Consider the following 23,935-nt stretch of genomic DNA (forward strand, 5'->3'; position numbering starts at 1 on the left):
ATCCGCCCGCCTCGGCCTCCCAAAGTGCTGGGATTACAGGCGTGAGCCACCGCGCCCGGCCTTAATAGACTATTAAATATAGCTTTGACTACAACCATTTAAATGTTTTTTTCAATTAAATAATAAAATTAGTTTAAAAAGAAAACAAACCAAACCCCATACTGTTGAATACAAGAGGAAGCAAATCACTAGTTTTTATCTCAAATTTACAAATAACAAAGTAGCAAACTTTTGGATTTAGAGCTTTTGAGGTTTCAGAATTGTGAATAAGTGAATAGTCTATTTACAGTGTGATATAGTTAGGATATTTGTCCTTGCCCAGATCTAATGTTGAATGGTAATCCTCTATGCTGGAAGCCGGGGGCCTCGTGGGAAGTGTTTGGATCATGTGGGCGGATCCCTCATGGCTTGGTGCTGTCTTTGGATAGTGAGTTCTTGTAAGATCTGATAATTTAAAAGTATGTGGCACCTCCCTCACCACTCTCTCTCTTGCTCCTGCTTTCGCTATGTGATGTGCTTGCTCCCCGCTTGCTTTCTGCGGTGATTGTGAGCTTCCTGAGCACTCCCCAGAAGCAGATGCTGCTATGCTTCCAATATAACCTGCAGAACCATAAGCCAATTAAACCTCAGTCTCAGGTATTTCTTTACAGCAGTGCAAGAGTGGCCTAATACACCACATTTGTAACATAGCCACACAGACAAAAATTTCAAGACTGCACTGTGTGTATTCTTAGAGGAATATATCCTGAAGACATAAACAGCAAAGAAATCTTAAACTTCAGACAGTATCTTATTTTTAATATTATGGTTGATATTCTAGAGTAAAACCATTTAATTCATACATTGTAGGCAAATTGCAGAAATTATCTTGTGATATTTTGGAAACAATGTTTTCAGAGAAAGAGGAAATACATATTAATATACTAGTACACTAATAATATATTAGTGCACTGATATATGTTTATACATATATTCTAATATACAAACCACAAAATTCAGAAAAATCATTTTGATGTTTGAAAGTGAATTGGAAATACTAATGTAAACTCATTATTCTATTTTTAAAAACATATATTCTAATTTTGTCACTGAAAGGGCCTACAAACAGTAAAGCATCCCTAGGGCCCCAATCTTATTTTTTAAACGTAATATTCCATTGAAAGCAATTAGAACTCCTTCAAGAAATAGTTGATTCCAGGTCTAGGGAAGGAAATGCACAAGATATACGTAGGATAAATTATGCCAAAAAGCAAGGAAATGCTCAAAGAATAAGGGAGTGTATCAAAAGGATATAGAAGTAAGTTTAACTACATGTTAATTGCTTTAAGTGTTGGATCCTGAAAAGACTGCCAGGACTCCAGTGGCTTCACTCATGGAATAGCTTTCTTATAGGCAAAGGAGGCAGTACAACGACTGCAGGGGAAGGATATGGATTGAAAGGGATATGGAGATCTCAGGGTTAGGCTTCTTTGATTTTCTACCACTGGGTTGCAGAGGAAGCACTGACAAATCAAGACAAATCTTCAGCTTTGGATCATGGGTGGCATGCTTGTGAAGCAGCTTGGTAGCAGGAAACCCAGTTCTGCTTGTGAGAAGAATCTCTTATATTAAGCAAGTCTTATAGGTACATTCCAATTCTATAATCAACCTTAACCATCAAAACCCCTGAGTCTCTAATAAAACCATGTGCAAAACATGAGTCCAATTATCATTGCCAAGTAATGCTGATAGGCAGGTATGTCCTGCAGATCTGTAATTAAAGGACATCACTTATCTGTAGTTAATGTAATTCACAGATTGGCCAAGGGATTATCATATTCCAGGCTTTTCTGGGGCAAAGCACATGATTAATCCAAATCAGCTGAGTAACTCATGCTATGCAAAAGGATTCTCATTAGCTCAAATCAGGGCATTTCAAGCACTAAAAGAAACAGTGATAGGCAACACAGAAAAAGTTTTTAAAAATTACCCATTACTCAAAATGAAAGTTTTATTCATAATTTATTATTTTTTCAGTTTTTTCTAAATATTTTAATATTAATATTCAAAAACATTTGTACACACTAAAGCAATAGTGTAATGAACACCCATACATCCAATTTTTAACAGTTTGCCACATTTGCTTTATTTATATCTATATTTTTTTCTGAAACATTTCAAAGCAAGTTGTGAACATCACACTTAATTTCTAAAATTACATTTTGCCACTCCTAAAATAAGAACTTACTCTTATATGCTTGTATATCATTATGTCATATAAGATAATCTTAATTGATTACAATATCATTTAATTCACAGTTCATATTCAAATTTTCCCATTGCACAAAATAATTTTTATTAATTTTTTCAATAAATCTTACTAAGTTTCATGCATTTAATTTGGCCATGATTTTGCTTCCATTTCTATCATTCTAGAATGACTTTTTTTTTCATGACCATAATTTTTTAAGAGAATAGGTCCGTTCTCTTGCAATTATAACATTATTGGAATCATGTGATTGTTTGCACATGGTTTCATTTAGCTTTCATCTCTAATAATTATATTACATAGGCATTCTAAGCTAGAATTGAAAGCTTATTTTTTATATGTTTTTGGCAAGAATATTTCATAGGTCATACTGTGTATTTCATATTATATCATATCAGCAGACAATGTTTAGGTGGCCCCACTATTAGTGGTAACAGATTTGATCACTTGGCTATGATAGTGATAGCCAGATTATCAGTTTTTGGGAAAGATTTTTTTTTTTTTGCATTTAGAACATAATCTACTGGATAATATTCTGCAAATATCCACTTTCACTCAGCCTTTCACCTAATGGTTTTAGGATCCATTAATGATCTTTGTATGAATCAGTTATTTCATTGGGTGTTACAAAATTGTGATTTTCTAATTCTGTCATTTTCCCCCCTCATTTTAGCTGACATTGTTACCTGATAGAGTTTGATCATCAGCCACTGTGGTGAACTCCAAAGTCTTATGAAAAGGCAGACTAAATAGTTAATTTTGTATCTTTAATTTTCAATTTCAGTGTAAGGAGGTCCTATAATAATCAATCTCATTCGTGGCATATGAATTTTTTCCTCTTTCTTTTTGATTTTCATTATGGGTTTTTAAGTATCGAGTGTGTAAATATCAATTGTAGATGCTATTTATTTGATATTTATATTTTACCTAATTTGGCCGGTGACAATTCCAGTAATAATTCCATCTGGGTCCTGGGTCCATTTGGTATAGTATCAGCAGTCTTTGAACTCTTCCTTGTCTTCTGGCATAACAAGATGTCCTACAATTAAGGTATTTTTTCCCCCTTACATGGAATACTAATTTCTCCAGGAAGCTCTGATTTGTTTTAGTTAAGAATAATATTTAAAACCAAGATTTATCTACAAGGAGCGCTCATTGTTATTGAGACAACTTCAATTCTTTTTACATTCAGAGACCAGAGCTAGAAAATTTTTTTAATCAACATCTTATGATCATATTGATATTTTTTACTTAATTTGGTTGATTTTATATTTGCATCTTTTTTTTTTTTTTTGAGATGGTGTCTTGCTCTGACGCCCAGGCTGGAGTACAGTGGTGCAATCTCAGCTCAGTGCAACCTCCACCTCCTGGGTTTAAGTGATTCTTGTGCCTCAGCCACCCGAGTAGCTGGGATTACAGGTGCGTGCCACAATGCCCAGCTAATTTTTGTATTTTTAGTAGAGATGGGGCTCCACCGTGTTGGCCAGGCTGGTTTCAAACTCCTGACCTCAAGTGATCCACCCACCTCGGCCTCCAAAAATACTGGGATTACAGGTATGAGCCACCGCACCCAGCCTGCATTATTTTTTATTGCACTGAAAACCTTGTTTCCTAATATAATTAATATATTAACATAATTATTTGTTTTGTTTATTTTACACAGGTAGTATATTTGGAATAGTTTCAAAGTTACCATGGTGATAATATTATTAGCATTATACCTGCTGAGTTAGATTAAAGACTTCTTTGCTGGTTTTTCTTTTCTTTCTTTTTTTTTTTTTTCAGTCCTTTACATATGTGTCACCAAGAATATACAGAATACAGTATTTAAAAGTCTCTTGAAATAATGTTTCTGAGCTTGCACCTCTGTATTAATGTGTCCAAGTTGATAAGTAGCTAGGATTGTTTATTTCTACTCATTATTCTAAGTTTTAGCACTTGCTTTTTCATATAACTTTATATTTTTGAGTAGATAAAACATACATATGTGTCAAAATTATATAAAATATTGTATTTAGGGAAGTCTCTTTTCCTTTTTTATCTTTACCACACAGTTCCTCGTGCCCTCTGTAGTTGTCTATTTTAGCTTCTGGTGTATACTTCCAGTGTGTGTGTGTGTGTGTGTGTGTGTGTGTGTGTGTGTGTGTGTGTGTGTTTGCAAAAATGGACAAGTATGCCTGTATTTTGTATACTTATAATGTATAATTATATACTTAATTTATATAATTTCTTTTTTATATGGAATATGTAACTACTATATGAACTGTTCAGTTCTTTGCTTTTTTAACTTTTGATACATTGAAAATTACTAGAAATTGTTTTCTAGAAAGCAAACAAAAATAAGCTCATTTATTATTGCTCTTATTTTATTATATTTATACAAAGCAGGTACATTTACAATATATATTATTCTTTTCATCTTAGTAATTGTCTTCAAAATCTTCTCACACATTAAGCTGTCTTTCCATCCCACCCTCAAAAGGTAGCTTTTCCACTATCGTTAGTGCCCATGTATGAGAAATAGCTTGCTTTACTGAAATAGTCATTCTACCTATCTTTCAACAACTGATATCATATTACTCTCTTTTGAGAACTAACTGGAGTCATTAAAGTTTAAGCAAGAATCTTTAAAAAAATTCTATAAAAGTAGTATTAATTAATCAAGGCAAGAAAAAATTAGCATTGCTCTGTTAAACATTAGCATCTGAGAAAATTGCTTAATAACTCTACATCAAAAATTTTAATTTATATAATCAAAATATGACAACATTCCATGCACTATTCATTTACATTTTTTTCTTTCAAGCATGTTATTGGAATTAAATAAAATTAATATGATTATACTCAATTTGCAGTCAAATTTCAAAATGAAAGAACACAATTTTTTTCAATTTTTTGAAATTATGTCTTTTTTAAAAATCAGTTTCTTTCTAGAAGTTAAGCTTATAGCCCCAGGTACAATGATGTATTTGATTTGAATACTGTTTTTCCCTAAAATTTAGTATATAGGCCATTTCTTTAGTGAATTTAATTTACCTGGTCTACATGTTCCTTGTATTTGAAAATTGATTGATATTCAGATCTAGTTATAATTTTGCCTTGCAAAAAATAATACAAAGCAATCCAAAAATGAATATTAATAATTACAATTTATTGAAACTATATAAATTTTCAAAAACTAATCCAAATAATATGTGCAATGAAGATGGGTATTTTAAATTTGCTATCTGTTTGCAATTTGTTTCAACGATTCACCTTTTGATTCATACAATACAATGATCCATATAAGGTCTGAACACATAAACCAAATTGGTAATTGCTGAACTTTTTACCCTTTCTCACTGTAGTCTGAATTTTTTTTTCCACAAAGAAAGAAATGTAAATGAGAGATAAGTTACCTCTTCACTTATAGGTCAAAACTTTTGGCTTTAAGGAAGGCATAAGTAAAGCTAGTATTTTAAATTAAAGAGAAAATTAAAAGTACATGAACATATATGTCATTTGCATTATGTTAATACATGTTATATAACATAAAATATATAATAATATTTTATATTAGTAATGCCACTCCAAAATTCCAGAATAGAGTGAAAAAGCCCAGATATGGGAGCCAGAAAAACCCTCACCAAGTTCAGCTGAACTTGCTGTCGCACCGGAAAATGAGATGTGCGGGGTAGGGGGCAGGGACGAGGGGGAAAGGGACCACTCGGGTCATTTTTAAGATGAGAGAGTAGTCACAGGGGAACAGAACCAGGAGTCTAAACGAAGTATAGCATGACGGGCGTACGTTTCCCTATACAAGGTCCTATTTAAGGGCACAGGAAAAGTTACAGAATGACAAAAGAGGTGAGCAAGAAGGTCTGCAGGGTGGCTGTTTTGAACCCACCACCAGTTTAGTTTAGAAGAGGTCCAATCACTAGGACGTGGGGTATGACAATCTAAATACCCGCAACCTTCATGGTGCCAGAAATTCCAATCAGGTGAATGTTCTTCACACTCGTTTTCGTAAAAACACCTGACTTGCCTCTGGCAGAAAAGACAGGACTGTGGTGGCCAGCCTAAACGACTGATGAGAAATTTAACCTCTTGTGACAAAAAATCAGCACTAAGGACCTTGAAGAAGTTTTTATCCAGACGTCGTGGACAATATCGACGTCCTGACACGTAACACCTTGACAACCACTAAACAAGACAATAGACACCGAACAAAACAATAAACATAAAACAAACAATTGACCCTAGGGCATGTAAACAATTATGACAGTTTTCCTATTTATTATTTTTTATTAGACAGACAAGGGGAGGGGGTCCCGTGGTGGGATCATTCAGGTGCCTGCCCGGCCACTCCCCCTGAGTGAACTTGGGCTCCTCTTAGCATTGGCAGGCCGGTATAAACCCCCGGCTGGGATGGAGCTAAGGCCTGATGCTGCCTTAAGCCTTATGAGGTCGCCACGGAACCGCAGGTGAGGGCCCACTCGAACTCCGTAGCTTTTGTCGTGCAGCTACAAACTGGAAGACAAACCGCAAGCGTTTGTCCTCCCCACTCACTCACCAGTCACACAGAGTTTATTGCAGTTTTTTTTTCTTTTAAACAAAGATACCCAAGATAAGAGGTAGGAAGAGAGAGAGAGAGAGAGGAGAGAGAGAGAGAGGAGAGAGAGAGAGAGAGAGAGAGAGAGAGAGAGAGAGAGAGAGAGAGAGAGAGAGAGAGAGAGAGAGAGAGACAGAGAGAGACAGACAGAGAGAGACAGAGACAGACAGACAGAGAGACAGAGACCGGTCTTCCAGAAACCAAGGCTCAGCTCCCCAGTGTCCTGGGTCTTGACATGAGTCAACGGAGGGTCCTCGTCAGGACCACTTCCCACCCAAACCAAGACACAAAGGCGCCTACCAGAAAACCAAGGCTCAACCCACTAGTGTCCTAGAGTAACAGGCTGAGTCAAAAGAGGGACACCCTCGTCAGGGCCGCTTCCCTCTTACCAGAAACGAAGTCAAATCTGAACTACCTGACCCCGGGGTCAGAAGCTGAGGACTCAGATGTTGAATTTTAGGGCACTCACACGGTAGTCGATCCGCTCTCCTCTGGAAGACGGTCGCCCTTCGGGGACCTGAAAATTCTTTTCTCAGGTGGCACCCCCCCCCCTACAAGCCGGCCGACCTTCCGGGGAGCCTGGAGCGAGACCGGCTCTCGCCTGGTGGGGTTAATATATCTCGCTGGGGCATCCAAAATGTTCTACCCTAGCGAGTTAGAAAAACACCAGACTTTGAGACGAATTAAGAATCCTTTATTAGCCAGCGATTGAAAGACAGCTAACGCTTAAAATTCTCTCGGCCCCGAGGAAGGGGCTTGATTAACTTTTATACCTTGGTTTTAGGAAGGGGGGGGTCTAGTTAAAACAATTTTACAGAAGTAGTCAAAAAGTTAAAAGGATAAATGGTTACAGGAAAGTAAACAGTTCCAGGTGCAGGGGCTTTAAGACTATTACAAGGTGATAGACCCGGGGCTTTGGGCGTTATCAATCGGACGAATTCCTGGGAACCGCGGATATAGCTTGCCACAGTATCTTATCAGTTAATTGCATCCTTGGATGTGCTGGGAGTCAGTTTGCACAAGTTAAGTCCTTGAGGAAGGGGCTGCCAGTGAAAGAGCCAAGATGGAGTCTGTCTGGCTGTCTTAGCTAAGGGAGAGTCAATTCAGGTGGAAACAAGGCTAGGTGATTAAAGGAAAAGGGAGAGTCTAAAAACAGAGTTAGTAAAAACCAGGTTGCGCATTACAACAAGAATATACTATCATAGAGACAATTAAATCTCTTCATTTAGTTAACTGTTCTGAGAAACTGGGCACTTCATTGCTTATTTTGATGAGCCTTATTGGTCATCCTACACTTGCTTATGCACCACTTATTTTTCTCAACAAAGTCATCTAGGCTTTGTTGCCCAGCTGAAGGCAAGAGAGTCAAGAATATAAAACCTATGTCCCCTTTCTCTCTGCGTTCTGTTCTGTTTGGCCTCTCAATTTACTCACTTTTCACATGAATGTGGTCTGAGAATGGGGTTTCTTTCAGCCAGTAGTAGAAGCTCTCTGCTTCTTTTAATTTACCACCCTTGGGTGGATGTGCATGAGAGTTATTAATGTTTCTTTTCTACATTTCTGTAGTGTTTTGCAAAATAAAGTTTCACATGCCCTTTCACAGTCCTAACTACCCTGAAAACTAGATAGGCAAGTATGATTATTCAAAATCACATGCTCAGAAATTTGGGTGTGAACTACTTTGAAAGAGATCCAGCTGGTAATTAATGATCAGTATGCAAATCTGCATTTCAAACACCTAGTCCAGTGCTTTTGGCAACATACAACAACAGAAGAAGTTACTGTAGTATGGGGTCATTTCTTTCTTAGCTGCCCTAAATAATGTTTAAATAACTAATTTATTAAGGAAAATAATTTCCTGGCAGTTTCCTTAAAAAATTAAACATAAGATAATATTTATCTATTGTTTTATCTTAAATTTTAAAGCAAAATAAAAGCACATGGTACCATAGGAATAAACTGCCTGCCACCCAGTCTTAGGCTCAGTAAAAATGCTCATTAGAAGAATTTTCTTAGGATAATTCCTTAGAATCTGGAAGCTACTGCAAATATTTTAGGTTTGGCATAGAACTGAAATCAACAGAACATTTAAAAATTGATTGGAGCCTTCTGGATTTACCTCTGACATGTAACAAGCTTAGAAGTCATTATGCCCTTCCTAATAATAAGAAAAACCTGAACAAACTAAAAACAATATCTTTATTGGACCTGTCAGGGGACTATGGTCACAGGGAAAATCACCACCCTGAAATCTGGAAAGACAGGTGAATAGAGTCACAGCTGAGATTGGCTTGCTCTGGACCCATGTTTTTTTATTGTCTATTCTGATTATTTGACATCTGGGGCCTTGCTGCTCGTGGAGGGACTGCCATTCTCAGGGTTCATCAATTCCTAGAGACCGTTAACAACTCACGTGTGAGTGCACTTTTTAAATACAAACCAACCAATCCAGAGCCCACACCCCAACCACTCCCTTTAATTGAAGTCTCTTACTGAGGATGACTATCCACCTGACCTCTTTGCCACAGGCCTAGATACCAAGAACATAAAGGACAGCCTTTATGTTCAGAGTTTGCTGAAATTATTCAAACTAGCCAGTCCTAAAACTGCTTACTCTGTGTTTCCTGTTCCTTCCCACAGACAAAAAACACAATAAGGCTTTTGCCAATAGTTTTCTCCTCTCCCGCTACCCCTCGACTGATCCTGATTCTTCTTCATGTGGCTCCTATGGCATGGCACACCCTCTCTTCTTGGGAATTGTAACTGTCTTGTCAGTGGCAATCATCTCCTGATATGTTGGCCTTACTGTACCTCATTTAAAAAATTAATACTGTATATTTTAAAACAAGCCATGAACTGGTAACACTTAAATAGGAATTTTGACAGATTCCTAGAGGCTGAGTGTGGACTAGACTGAGAGTGACAAACTGCTGGGGGCACTTGGTGAAGTAGCCACATTGGCTTCTCATGGTGAGGAACAGAGAATCCTACAGTGGCTCTGGCAGGTGGAGTGGAAAAGTAACCATTTTAAAATAGACCAAAGCATTCTCAATAACAGTTCTACTCACCAGGGAAAAAGACTTTACCAGGGCCTTATCCACTGCTGCAGAAGGGAATTTCTCCAACTCTAGTACCCTTTGGCCTTCTTGTCTCCCCAGTATGGGAGAGAGAAGGGGAAGGGAAGAAGACAAAGCCAAAAAATACTTGTGAAAGTCATAACCAAGGGGGATCGGCCCATTGAAAGAGGCAAATTTAGCTATAAGATTATAGTGTGCTTCCCTTCTCTTGTACCTTACTGCTATATCAACAGGCCTTCAGTATAAAAACAGCAGATTACAATTGAAAGTACTTTACGCACATACTCTATTTGAGTAGGATTTCAAGGAAAGCCCAGAAACAATAGAGAAGATAAGAACAAAGACATTATAGGAATTTGAAGTCTCTGGCACCTACAGCTACAGAAAACATTAACCATAGGATGTCTCCTTGTCAGATTAACATAAGAACCTCACGCTAAATACTTATTTACCTCAGTTCAGTTACCCAGTTTGTTATATCCAGCTTTCAACCAAGAATTACAAGGCATTCCTAAAGGTAAGGAAAATAGTCTGGAAAGAAAAGCAAATATCAGAACCAGACTCAAATAGGAAACAAATGTGGAATTATCAAACAGTGAATTTAAATTATTATGCATATGTTAAGGGCTTTAATGGAACGAGTGAACAACATGCAACAACACATGGGTCATGTGAGAAGAGAGATGATGGAAACCGTAAGAATCAAAAGGAAATGCTAGAAATTAAAAAATACTGTCATAGAAATGAAGAATGTACTTGACAGCTTTATCAATAGACTGGACATGAACAAGGAAAAAAATCAGTGAGCTTGAAGATATGCCAATAGAAACTTTCCAAACTGAAATGCAGAGGGAAGAATGAAAATGACAGAACAGAATATTCAAGCACTATGGAACATTTACAAAAGGTATGACATACATGAATCAAGAAATAAATATTCTGAAGAGACCCATATCTGTTAAAGAAATCGAGTCAAAAATTAATAATTTTTCAAAACAGGAAGCAACAGGCCCATATGGTTTCACTGGTGATTTCTACCATACACTTAAGGATTAAATAATACCAATTATCCAAATCTCTTCCAGAAAATAGAAGTGGGGGGAACATATCCACATTCATTCTATGAGGCCAGCATTATCCTAATACTAAAACCTAATAGAGATATTTTGAGAAAAGGAAAGACAAATATTTACTTCTGATAAATATAGATCTAAAAATCCTCAATAAAATATCAGAAAATTTATCTAGCAATATATCAAAATATCTGGTTAGTATTCTTCAAAAATTTCAAGATCATAAAAAACATGGGAAGTCTGAGAAACCATCACAGCCTAAAGGAGTCTAAAGAGACATGAGGACTAATGTCTTGTGGCATCTTAGATGGAATCCTGGAGCTCACAAAGGAGAGCAAGGAAAAACTGGGAAAATCTGAATAATGTAAGGACTTTAGTTAGTAATAAAATATCAATATTTGTTCTTTAATTGTAGTGCACACATATACTAAGGTTCTAGATGTTAATAATAGGGAAACTGTGGAAATTGGAACTCTGAATTACTCTTGTAATTTTTCTGTAAATCTAAAACTTTTCTAAAAGGAAAGTTTATTTTAGGAAATATATCAAAAGTATCAGATATCAACCTCAATATTTTTCAGTGTTGTGCTTATAAGTCTTTATCGCAGATTATGCCTTTGCTTGCTATTGACTATCAACTTTGGTCCATGCTCAGAGGTTCTCTATCTTTATGGTGCTTTGCTTCTTTGTTTATCACTTTTGGGTAGAGAGGAGGTGAAGAGTTTAGGAAACCTTGTTGGTATTTGTTTTCTACTGAAAGCTTGTCTTGTTTTATAAGAAAATCTGTTATTTATAAAATTTCACACCCATTTTCAAAAAGCAAGAAACCTTTCTTAACAGTGAAAAAGCACTTTTTAAAAAATATTAGACCAGAATGTTTCTTTATATCCATTTCTTCCATATTAGGTCTTGCCTTTTCTAGATGTGTTCAGCCACAGGCACTGAGGCCAAGTGCTAGATTCACCACTGCCTTGTTTCTGAGCCTAATTTGTTAGTCTGTTTCTGAGTCCTAATTTGTTAGTCTTCTGATATCAGCAAGGTAAAGCTCAAGTTATGGAGCCTTGGACATGGTTAGATAGCAAGTCAGTTCCCATAGACTTAATTCCCACATCCATTGGCTTCTTTCTCTTTCCAGAATTGCCCATATAATCAAAATACCATAATGCTTTCAGGCTTAATGGAAGTAATGACAAAAAAAGAGAGCAAAATATTTTGTCACAAATAGTAATCTAATCCCAGTTTCCCACAAGGGTTGTTCAATATTTGAAAATATTTATCAAGTCATTATCCAGAAATGGCTTTCCTCTAGATTAATTGTGTGCATTTCTGGACTTCCACAACCTTGATTGTATTTCCATAAAGGACATCTCTTTCACTTGTGTCTGTGTGAGGAGACCACCAAACAGGCTTTGTGTGAGCAGCAAGGCTGTTTATTTCACCTGGGTGCAGGCGGGCTGAGTCCGAAAAGAGAGTCAGCAAAGGGAGATGGGGTGGGGCCGTTTTATAGGATTTGGGTAGGTAAAGGAAAATTACAGTCAAGGGGGTTGTTCTCTGGCAGGCAGGGGTGGGGGGTCACAAGGTGCTCGGCAGGGGAGCTTTTGAGCCAGGATGAGCCAGGAGAAGGAATTTCACAAGACAATGTCATCAGCTAAGGCAGGAACAAGACATTTTCACTTCTTTTGTGGTGGAATGTCATCAGTTAAGGCAGGAACGGCCATCTGGATGTGTACGTGCAGGTCACAGGGGATATGATGGCTTATCTTGGGCTCAGAGGCCTGACATTCCTGTCTTCTTATATTAATAAGAAAAATTAAATGAAATAGTGATAAAGTGTTGGGGTGGCAAAAATTTTGGGGGGTGGTATGGAGAGATAATGGGCGTTGTTTCTCAGGGCTGCTTTGAGCAGGATTAGGGGTGGCATGGGAACCTAGACTGGGAGAGATTAAGCTGAAGGAAGATTTTGTGGTAAGGGGTGATATTGTGGGGTTGTTAGAAGAAACATTTGTCGTATAGAATTATTAGTGATGGCCTGGATACGGTTTTGTATGAATTGAAAAACTAAATGGAATAAGAGAAGGAGAAAAACAGGTATTAAAGGACTAAGAATTGGGAGGACTCAGGACATCTAATTAGAGAGTGCCCAAGGAGGTTTGGCATAGCCCTGCCAGAAAAGATTATTTATTTACTTTAAGAGTTAAGAGTGGCGGGGCCGGGCGCGGTGGCTCACGCCCATAATCCCAGTACTTTGGGAGGCCGAGGTGGGCAAATCATGAGGTCAGGAGATCGAGACCATCCTGGCTGACATGGTGAAACCCCTTCTCTACTAAAAATACCAAAAAAAATGGCTGGGAGGGGTGGTGGGTGCCTGTAGTCCCAGCTGCTTGGGAGGCTGAGGTGGGAGAATGGCATAAATCCGTCAGGCAGAGCTTGCAGTGAGCAGAGATCGTGCCACTGCGCTCCAGCCTGGGTGACAGAGCTAGACTCTGTCTCAAAAAACAAACAAACTAAAGAGTTTAGCACCAGGAGATATCAGCTGTGATGGCTTGGGGAAACAGTGTAAACCGGCAGTGTAAACAAGAGCAGGGCATTTATGAGTAGTTGAGAATGGTGAATAGGAGTATGACTAGACAGAAGATAGTAGGGATGACCAGTTTTTTGGGTGGCAGTCCAAGTTGGTCTGGTGTCTGGAATGAGACTGGGGCCTAAAAAAAAGGAGTGTCTATACAGGGGCTTAAATGGGCTGTACCCTTTAGCATTCCAAGAACAGGCCTGAATTCTGAGAAGGCCAAGTGGTAAAAGTATTGTCCAGTCCTTTTTAGGTTGGTGGCTGAGCTTGGTAAGGTGTGTTTTTAAAAGACCATTAGTCCGTTCTACCTTTCCTGAAGATTGAGGACCGTAAGGGGTATGAAGGTTTCACTGAATACCAAGAGCCTGAGAAACTGCTTGGGTGATTTGACTAGTAAAGGCCGGTCCGTTATCGGACTGTATAGAGGTGGGAAGGCCAAACCAAGGAATTATGTCTCACAGAAGGGAAGAAATGGCTGCAGTGGCCTTCTCAGACTCTGTGGGAAAGGCCTCTGCCCATCCAGTGAAAGTGTCTACCCAGACCAAGAGGTATTTTAGTTTCCTGACTCGAGGCATATGAGTAAAGTCAATTTGCCAGTCCTGGGTGGGGGCAAATCCCCGAGTTGATGTGTAGGGAAGGGAGGGGGCCTGAACAATCCCTGAGGAGTAGTAGAATAGCAGATGGAACACTGAGAAGTGATTTCCTTGAGGACAGATTCCCACGATGGAAAGGAAATGAGAGGTTCTAAGAGACGGGCTATCAGCTTGTAACCTACATGGAAGAGGTTATGAAATGACGACAGAATAGAATGGGCTTGTGAATCTGGAAGGAGATATTTTCCTTGGTCTAAGAACCATTTGCCTTGTGTGGGAAGAGATTGATAGTTGGAAGTTTCAGTGGGGGAGTAGGTGGGAATGGCCAGATGAGAAGGAGAAAAACTGCTGTGAGGGATAGAAGTTGGGACTAGCTGCTTTTTTAGCTAACTTATCAGCATAAGCGTTGTCCTGACCGATGGGATCTGATGCCTTTTGATAGCTGCTTTTTTAGCTACCTTATCAACATAAGTGTTGCCCTGAGTGATAGGATCTGATGCCTTTTGATGGCCCTTGCAGTGAATGACTCCAACTTCCTTTGGAAGTAAAGCGGCTTTGAGAAGCATTTTTATTAAAGATGCATTAATGATGGAGGACCCTTGCATAGTAAGGAAACCTCTTTCTGCCTATATACCAGCGTGGTGGTGCAGGATGTGGAAGGCATATTTAGAGTCAGTATAAATATTGACTCATAGTCCTTTTGTAAGAGTGAGGGCTTGAGTTAAGGCAATGAATTCGGCTTGCTGAAAGGTAGTGGAGGGGGGCAGAAAGTATATGCGTCAGGTGTGAGGAAGAAAATAGATTTTGGAAGTTATGAGAACTGTAGAGGGTGAGTTGAGCATAGTTTGTGATTTTGAGGGCCTCTAAAAGCATTAAAGCAGTGGCAGCCGCTGCACGCAGACGTGAGGGCTAGGCTAAAACAATAAGGTCAAGTTGTTTGGACAGAAAGGCTACAGGGCACAGTCCCAGCTCTTATGTAAGAAATCTGACCACACTAACCATGCCTAGGAAGGAAAGGAGTTGTTGTTTTGTAGAAGGATTGGAGTTTGTGGTATTAGCCAGACATGATCAGCAGGGAGAGCACGTGTGTTTTCATGAGAATTATGCTGAGATATGTAGCAGATGAGGAAGAAATTTGGGCTTGACTGAAGTAATGGGGGCTGTCTGTGAAGCCTGGTGGCAGTACAGCCCAGGTAATTTGCTGAGCCTGAGGGGTTTCAGGGTCAGTCCAAGTAAAAGCGAAGAGAGGCTAGTATGAAGGGTGCAAAGGAATAGTAAAGAAAGTATGTTTGAGATCCAGAACAGAATAATGGGTTGTGGAGGGAGGTATTGAGGATAGGAGAGTACATGGGTTTGGCACCATGGGGTGGATAGGCAAAACAATTTGGTTGATAAGGCGCAGATCCTGAACTAACCTGTAAGGTTTGTCTGGTTTTAGGACAGGTAAAATGAGGGAATTGTAGGGGGAGTTTATAGGCTTTAAAAGGCCATGCTGTAACAGGCGAGTGATAACAGGCTTTAATCCTTTTAAAGCATGCTGTGGGATGGGATATTGGTGTTGAGAAGGGTAAGGATGATTAGGTTTTAAGGGGATAGTAAGGGGTACATGATCAGTCACCTAGGAGGGAGTAGAGATGTCCTATACTTGTGGGTTAAGGTTGGGGGATACAAGAGAAAGATGCGAAGGAGGCTTTGGGTTGGGAAGAAGGGTGGCAATGAAATGTGGCTGTAGTCCAGGAATAATCAGGGAAGCAGATAATTTGGTTAAAATGTCTCAGCCTAATAAGGGAACTGGGCAGGTGGGGATAACTAAAAAGGAGTGTATAAAAGAATATTGTCCAAGTTGGCAAGAGAGTTGGGGAGTTTTAAGAGGTTTAGAAGCCTGGCCGTCAATACCCACAACAGTTATGGAGGCAAGGGAAACAGGCCCTTGAAAAAAGATAATGTGGAGTGGGTAGCCTCTGTATTGATTAAGAAGGGGACGGACGTACCCTCCACTGTGAGAGTTACCCAAAGCTTGGCGTCCGTGATGGTCTACGGGGCTTCCGAGGTGATCGGGCGGTGTCAGTCTTCAGCCGCTAAGCTGAGAAGATCTAGGAAGGAGTCAGTCAGAGAGCCCTGGGCCAGAGTTCCAGGGGCTCTGGGAGTGGCTGCCAGGTGAGTTGAACAGTCCAATTTTCAGTGGGGTCCCGCACAGATGGGACATGGCTTAGGAGGAATCCCGGGCTGTGGGCATTCCTTGGCCCAGTGGCCAGATTTCCAGCACTTGTAGCAAGCTCCGGGGGAGGAGGTTCTGGAGGAACCCCTGGCAGCTGCAGTTCAGGCGTTTGGAGTTCTTGGGTGCTGGAGATGTGGCTGGGGTTTGTCTCACAGTGGAGGCAAGGAATTGCAACTCAGAAATACATTGCTACTTGGCTGCCTCTACTCTATTATTGTACACCTTGAAGGCGAGGTTAATTAAGTCCTGTTGTGGGGTTCGAGGGCTGGAATTTAATTTTTGGAGTTTTATTTAATGTCAGGAGTGGATTGGGTAACAAAATATATATTGAGAATAAGACGGCCTTTTGACCTTTTAGGGTCTAGGGCTGTAAAGAGTCTCAGGGTTGCTGCCAAACGAGCCATGAACTGGGCTGGGTTTCTATATTTGATGAAAAAGTGCCTAAACTCTATCTGATTTGGGATAAAGAAAAAGGAGCATTAACCTTGACTATGCCTTTAGCTCCAGCCACCTTTTTAAGAGGAAATTGCTGGGCAGCTGGGGAAGTTCTCCACCTGTCCAGTGGCCGTTATATTACACTTTGCAGAACATTCAGGGCATTCAGGGAAACTCATCTTGTCCACCTATTAGCAATCAAATGCCTCACTGTTAGTAACACAGAAATGTGGGTTGAATAACCAACATGGACACCAAAGAGTTCTAAATATCCATTGTGGTCTAAGGTAACAAAGAATGAATCCTTTAAGCTTCATGGCCATCCATCCCAAACGTGGGGCCAAGCTGGTATAAAAGGTTGTGGAAAACAAGAAGTCTTAATCATAATCACTGAAGACTCTTAGGGTTCTAATCTGACCTTCTACAGCATTCACTCTGACCACCAACTTTGTGAACAGATGATTTTGAATCTTGGTTCCTCTGAGCTGTCTTTCTGATAACAATATAACTAATTGTATAAATCAGGATTTTCCAGGGAAACAGAACAATAAGAAACAGAACCCAATAAGAAATGTGTTGTAGGGGAAGGGGTGAGTGGTGTCAGTGTATATACATATATTATAGAAAGAGATTTACAATAAGAAATTTATTCGTGTTATTCCAGCTCCAGCAAGCTGAAAACCTAGAAAAACCAATGGTATAGTTCCAGTCACAGTCCAAAGGCCTAGTAAGCAAGAGAGCTGATGGTGTAAGTTCTAGTCTGAGTCTGAAGGTCAGAGAAAACTCTTTTCTCAGCTCAAAGACTGCAAATTCTCCCTTAGTCAGCCTTTTGACCTTTTCAGGCCTTGAACAGATCGGGTGAGGCCCATCCACATTGAGGGAGACAATTTGCCTTACTTAGCCTACTGATTCAAATGTTAATCTAACCCAGACACACCCTCATAGACATACCCAGAATAACATTTAATCAAATATCCAGGCACCTTGTGGCCTAGTCAAGTTGCCAAAACAATCAACCATCACACTAATATTTACTGAGAACCCTATATATCCCTGTCACTTAAGCCGGACTTTAGTCCTGTTATATTTGATTTAATCTTTTCAGAAAGTTTAAAAGGTAAGGTACAATTACTGTCTCCACTTTTCCAGTGACAAATAGTAAGTACAATGTTGTTAAATATTGTTATGAACTGAATGTTCCCCCAAACCCCCACCTAAAATTTATATGCTGAAATCCTAACCTACAATATGTTAGGATTAGCTCTCGTGAATGGGATTAGCACTCTCTTAAGAGGAGACATGAGAGAGATGCTGTTTTTTTTTTTTTTTTTTGGTCCATGTGAGGATACAAGAAGACAGCCATCTGCAAAGCAGGAAAAAGGCCCTCACCAGATACCAGATCTTGCATTTCCAGCTTCCAGATCTTTAAGAAATAAATTTTTAAGCTACCTAGTCTATGGTATTCTTTTTTATAGCAGTACAAGCTGACTTAAACAAATCTTTTCCAAAGATCACACTTCTAAGTAGTGGAACATCTGTCTAGCCCCAGAGCTGACTCAACTATTATGGACTAACTGACCCTAGTATGCTTGTTTTTTTGAGTCCAGCTGAGCCAGCTGAAAGGACAACAATCCCAGCTTTGGTAGCAATGGTTGCTCTAATGAAAGTGAACTTCAATCACACTATTGTTTATATATTTTGTTCGGTTAGCATGGCTGAGGACCTGGTATCCCTACTTTTCTAAGGTGACTGTGGGGAAGAAAAATCACAAGGCTTTTTGAATGGTCTAGAATGTTTATATTATAAAAAAAATCTTAACAACAACCAAATTTATACTCCATATTCTATTGCACCAAACTACTACCTGCTCACATTTCCACATTGTTACATATCTCTACTCAGTGATATACTGCAGTCTGCTCTTACCTGCTTGCAAGGGCCAACTGTGCACATTCCTTCCCCAGAGCCCATTGTTAGACATTTAGCAGCCCACCACTGACTTTATTCCTTTGTTCACGCTGATCACTTTTCTTCCATGACCTTCCTTGCCATTTTCACTGGGTTTAATTTTCAAAGGTCCTCATTCATCCTGTAAAAGTAATGTGTTGCCTATGTAAGCAATTCTTAAACTCCTTTCTTGATGCTTTTGCAGTATTTCATGGTATGTATGTACTATTGCTTTTTTATTGTTTTAAAATTATTTAGTTGTTTGAGCTTTTGAAAGATAGAGCCAATATTTTATTTATTTTTATATTCCCAGGATATAACAGAGCTCCCAACATGTGGTTGATGCTCAGTACATGAATCTTAGGCAGGGGATCTAATAAAAGTTTTTGAACACAGGAGAAATGTGATCAAAACACTAGTTGGAGAAAATGACTTTGGCAGTGGTAGGACAGGTGAATTAAAGTGAGGAAGATTGAAGATCAGAAGCATGGTTAAGTGTCTGAACCAGGATGGCTACAGAAGAAATGATGTTGAAAAGTCCATGAAGAAAGACTCAACAGGATTTGTTAATAATCAGCTGTGATATATACCCTTGCTACAGCATGTGTGGAGGCTGAGCTAGCAGTATCAGCATCTCTTGGAAGCTTGTTAGAAGTGTAGAATTACTAGCCCTACTGGAAACCCAGTAAATCAGAATTTGCATTTGAACAAGATCCCCAGGTGAGTTATATGCATATTCAAGTTTGAGAATCCTTGGTCAAAGAAGAGGAAAGAGTATAATATGACAAGCTTCAATCCTTTGTTTTTTAATCAAAGACTTTCTCAATATTTCCTTCTTTTACAGATTCCTTTACTGATTCCTGTGAAGTGACTGTAGGACAGGGACAGGTGAAACATTGGTTCTCGCAAAGAAAAATGGAAATAATTGAGATTTTTGGTGCATGTGTGGAAAATAAAGCCCCTTTATCCATAGAATGGATGCATATCCTTAAACAGCTCATGGAAAAATGTGCTGCATTGAAGCTTGTTTTCTACTGCATTTTTGTTGCAAAATATCAACTATTATGTGTAGAGATCCCTAAGTCCACGAGTAGCCTTAATTCTCAGGTATTACAGTGTGTCCTTCAACTCAAACTTATCTTCCTCATGGGAACCGTTTCCAAATAATTTTTTAACCCATTATTTCTAGCAGTCTTGTTCCTCAAGGCCATTTTTGAAGCTAAATTCAATTAGCTAAACTGGTAGATTAGTTGTCATGTGACAATGTTAATAGTAATAGTAACAATGTTCATACACATAAAGCTTATAATACGCCAAGCACCGTTCTGAGCACTCGACATATATCAACTCGCTAAATCTTCATAACAACATTATGGAATAATTATACAGCTCTACCACCCTGAATGTGCTTGATCTCCTCTGACCTTGGAAGCTAACCATAGTTGGGGCTGGTTAGTACTTGGATGGGAAACAACACTAAGAAAATGTAGCCTACATTTTACAAAAGAAGAAACTGAAGAATAGAAAAATTAAGTGATGTGCTTATAGTCACACTCCTAAGTAGCAGGCTTGGATTCAAACTCAATGACTTAAGAGACAGTTTTCTTAATGACTCTGCCAATTGTTCTGTAACTGTAGCATGCATCAAAATCACCAGGCGAATTTGTTAAAACACAGGTATCTGCCTTCCCAAGAATTTCAGATTCAGTAGGGCTGGATAATTTGCATTTCCATAAATTTCTAAGGTGATCCTGTGGCTGCTGGTCCAGGCATCACTCTTTGAGGATCACTTAATTGTGCTACATATGACCTCTCTGTGTTTGATAAATTTTAGCTTACCTAATTATGCTTTAAAATAGCCTTTTTGTAGAAAAATAAAAACTAGACCCAAATGAATGATATGCATTGAGAATTCCCAGATGCTTTGAAGAAAACATTTTCTGATTAAGCAAATAAATCTTTTGGAGTGGCTTGTACCACAAACAATTCATTGCCTTTTCTTTACAACTAATGCTTTTTGGTAATTCCATTCCAGTGAGAAACAGGACTAGCTGGATTTCCTAGGCTATCTAAAAATTCCTAATACTAGGGAATATAATGATTTCAGTATGATGAGTTAGAAATAGCAGGTGACCTTGATACTCTACTTGTTTCTGTTTTGTCATGAATTACCTTCATGCCCCGTGAAAGATCACATGACCTCTATTTCTTTACCTGTTACATGAGAGTCTTGGACTAAGTTTACTTGTTTCCTTTGTCTTAATCCCATAAATGAACAATTCAGGATTGAGGGCCAACTATCTCCCATCAGAAGGAGATTAGAGGCCCTACTGCAGAGTTACTTTATGTTGTTGCAATGATGCCCATGGCTTTCTTGTTGCCAAAAAGGAGGAAATAAAAGAGAACTCTGTCAGCAGTGTACTAATCATGAATCTATGCAACAGTGACAGTTAATCTTCTCTTCCTATTAATAGATGCAGATGCCTAAGGGCTTAACATTTTCCTACTAGCTTAATAAGGAGAAAAAGATTGAAGGGGAAGCAGAGATGCCTAATTGCATAGCCAGCAGCTATTACAGTGTTGCTCAAAGGGAGAAACTCAAGAGAAAGAGGCAAGATGGAAATTCAGCATTGGCCATGCCAGCAAGTTGTCCCCTAAGGAAATTAAAAGAAAGTCGTTTTGATCTGTTTTGGTGCATCTCTAGGAGAATATTCAATTAAGAACCCAGATGAGCTTTCACTCACCGTGGTGCCTGCACAGCTGTATAAAACAAAGCTGAAGATATATTGATCTTCCTGAGAATGCCATGGAATACTTACTGCAAATTCACAAAAGAAAAATAAAGCTAAGTCTTCCTGGCTTTACAAAACCATTTTGATTTTCAATTCAGGAAGTCATCTTACTGTGCTTAGGTGTTTCACTGGCATTTGAACATAGGAAGGTTGTGACAGGGAAAGGGACATGTATGCTTATAAAATGAAAAAAAATTCACTTGTGACTTTGAATTTTTTCTAGTTTCATTTATAAATTAAATGGATTTCTGTTACATCTCTAAGTACCATATTCTGACAGTCACTCTGGTTCCTCAAATAATGTATTCCCAATAGAGGAAAAATAGTACCTTAAAAATAACGTATTAATTAAGAAATAGACAGTTACATAAAAAAGCTAACACATTATTTACACATTAAATATACTTACCTTTAAACAACTTCCTCACTAACGAATAGCCACTATATAGACTATTAAAATGATGCTTTGTAAGCTCCTATTCTGAGATTATAAGTAATGTCTTGATGGACCACATTGAGTAGCAATTAATCAAATTTAAATTAAACAATCATGCTTGAGTGCTTACTATTGATATTGGTGGGCTCGGAGAGGTCCCCAAATGCCAGTGGGACATCGACCCCAGTTAGTGTTCAGGCTTTTGACACCACTGTGGGAACGAATTCCGGGCTGAGTCAAAAAATAGTGAAAGTATGACAATTTCTTGCAAAGTGAAAAGTACACACTCAAGAAAAGGGAGTGAAGGTATACTCAGAGAGTCTCATACAAGGGGGTTTGGGGCTTCTTACCTTTATGGGTTTCTTCAACCCAGGGGTGGAATATTGATGAAGATTCTTAGAAAAAGGTGAAGATTTTTTGGAACTGTGATGCCACCCATTTTTACACCAACTATAGATGTTTCCAGAACTGTCATGGCACTGGTGAGTGTGGTAATTTAGCATATTAATGACTATGTAATGAGGTCCTAGATGAAACCTGGGTCAAATCCAACACCATGTTGGGTCCAGTGAGTGTTAGCCAGCTTGGCCCATATCTTGTTTTTCAGGATCTTATAGGCCCCTAGCTTATGAATCTATTTCAACAGTTTCCTTTTGCTAGTCATGTGAAACTGCTGCCTAGAATTTTTCTATTCTCTGGCGATCACTCTGTATTATTCCTGTCTCACTATGAGCCAAGTCTTCTGCTAGATGCTGAGCACACAGATATGAAAAAGAAAATTGCCTAGCATCCAGTGAGTTAGTGAGGAAGCAATTCCATTTAGAAATAAGAAAACCTTTGAAACCACCTTTGCACAAATTATAGAAACGAGAAAAGGATGACAGTGGAATATACCTGATCTAACCAGCCCCCAACTTACCTATAGCCTCCAAACTGCCCTTAATCATCGCTAGGCTTGGGCCAAGCTATCTTTGGGAGAAATTTAGTTTATAGTTTAAATGATAATAGCCCTTCCCCAAAACTAAACCACCTTGGAAAAGTTAATGAAAGGCCTGCCAAGTTAGGAGGATGAGAGGAGCCTGAATTCTGCTAAGGTGTAGACATAAAGGATTACCAGCCATTATTCCAGAAGCTGTAAGATTTGCAACTTCCCTAATTACTCCTGCAGATAATATCACTATTGTAGCACTTAAGATTGGCCTTTTGAGATGTCTTTTCAGGATTTTGCATTTCTGATGACCAATGGCTCCACCCAGACCGCCAACAAATCCTGTGGCCACACCCAGAGGCTGGCTCAGTGCACATGAGGACCATTTTCCACACCCCTATGATTACATTGCCAACCAATCAGACGCAGACATTCCCTTACCCGCCAAATTATTCTTGAAACCTCTAGCCTCTGATTTTTGTGGGAGTCTGATTTGAGTAATAATAAGGTCTCTTGTTCAGCCTGCTGTGCGTGAATTAACCTCTTTCTCTGTTGCAATTTTCCTGTCTTGATAAATAACCTCTATCTGGGCAGTGGGCAAAATAAACCCATCGTGCAGTTACACCTTATCTACTTAACTTCTCATATTTCTCCAATGTGGGAAAGGTGTGTTTGAATTCTGGGAAGCATGAGGTGACTCATATTTGTTACAACACTAAAAAAAATTGTGAATTTTCATTATTCTGTTATTAATTTCTGCTCATGTTTTAATCTGTTGTTTGTCTAATGTCTTACATTACTATGTCCATAATTTATTAATCTGTACTATAGTGTCTTGTACATGTAAGCTCCCTGTTCTATCCAAAGTTGAGGTTCCTCATCTCTAATATAAAGATTATATATTTAAGGGATTTTTATGAGAATTAAATAATATCATAAAAAGAAAATGTTTTTTAGAAAACCAAAAATCACCTTAAAATGTAGGCTTTTATACAGAAGTGTTTTGTACTATGGGCAACAATTTAAGCTCA

General features: G+C 38.7%; 1 long non-coding RNA gene and 1 pseudogene across 1 annotated transcript in view, besides 1 other annotated feature; both read left to right on the forward strand.

Annotated features, from left to right (window-relative positions):
- The window catches only part of LOC105373693 (uncharacterized), a 106,969-nt gene extending 83,867 nt beyond the window's left edge, over nucleotides 1–23,102 (forward strand). Inside the window, exon 3 of the long non-coding RNA XR_001739741.2 lies at nucleotides 19,593–23,102. This is a non-coding gene — a long non-coding RNA (uncharacterized LOC105373693). The remainder of the gene's footprint in view (nucleotides 1–19,592) is intronic.
- Nucleotides 13,084–13,811: an enhancer, noted in NCBI's record as "H3K27ac hESC enhancer chr2:155439873-155440600 (GRCh37/hg19 assembly coordinates)". NCBI's record gives its function as "activates a minimal SCP1, AML or CMV promoter by ChIP-STARR-seq in naive H9 embryonic stem cells {active_cell/tissue: H9 hESC(naive)}" and the evidence as "EXISTENCE:reporter gene assay evidence [ECO:0000049][PMID:30033119]".
- On the forward strand, nucleotides 20,130–20,251 carry RNA5SP107 (RNA, 5S ribosomal pseudogene 107; annotated as a pseudogene).
- Nucleotides 23,103–23,935: the final 833 nt, after the last annotated feature.

Source organism: Homo sapiens, chromosome 2 (assembly GCF_000001405.40).
Source record: "Homo sapiens chromosome 2, GRCh38.p14 Primary Assembly".
NCBI lineage: Eukaryota > Metazoa > Chordata > Mammalia > Primates > Hominidae > Homo > Homo sapiens.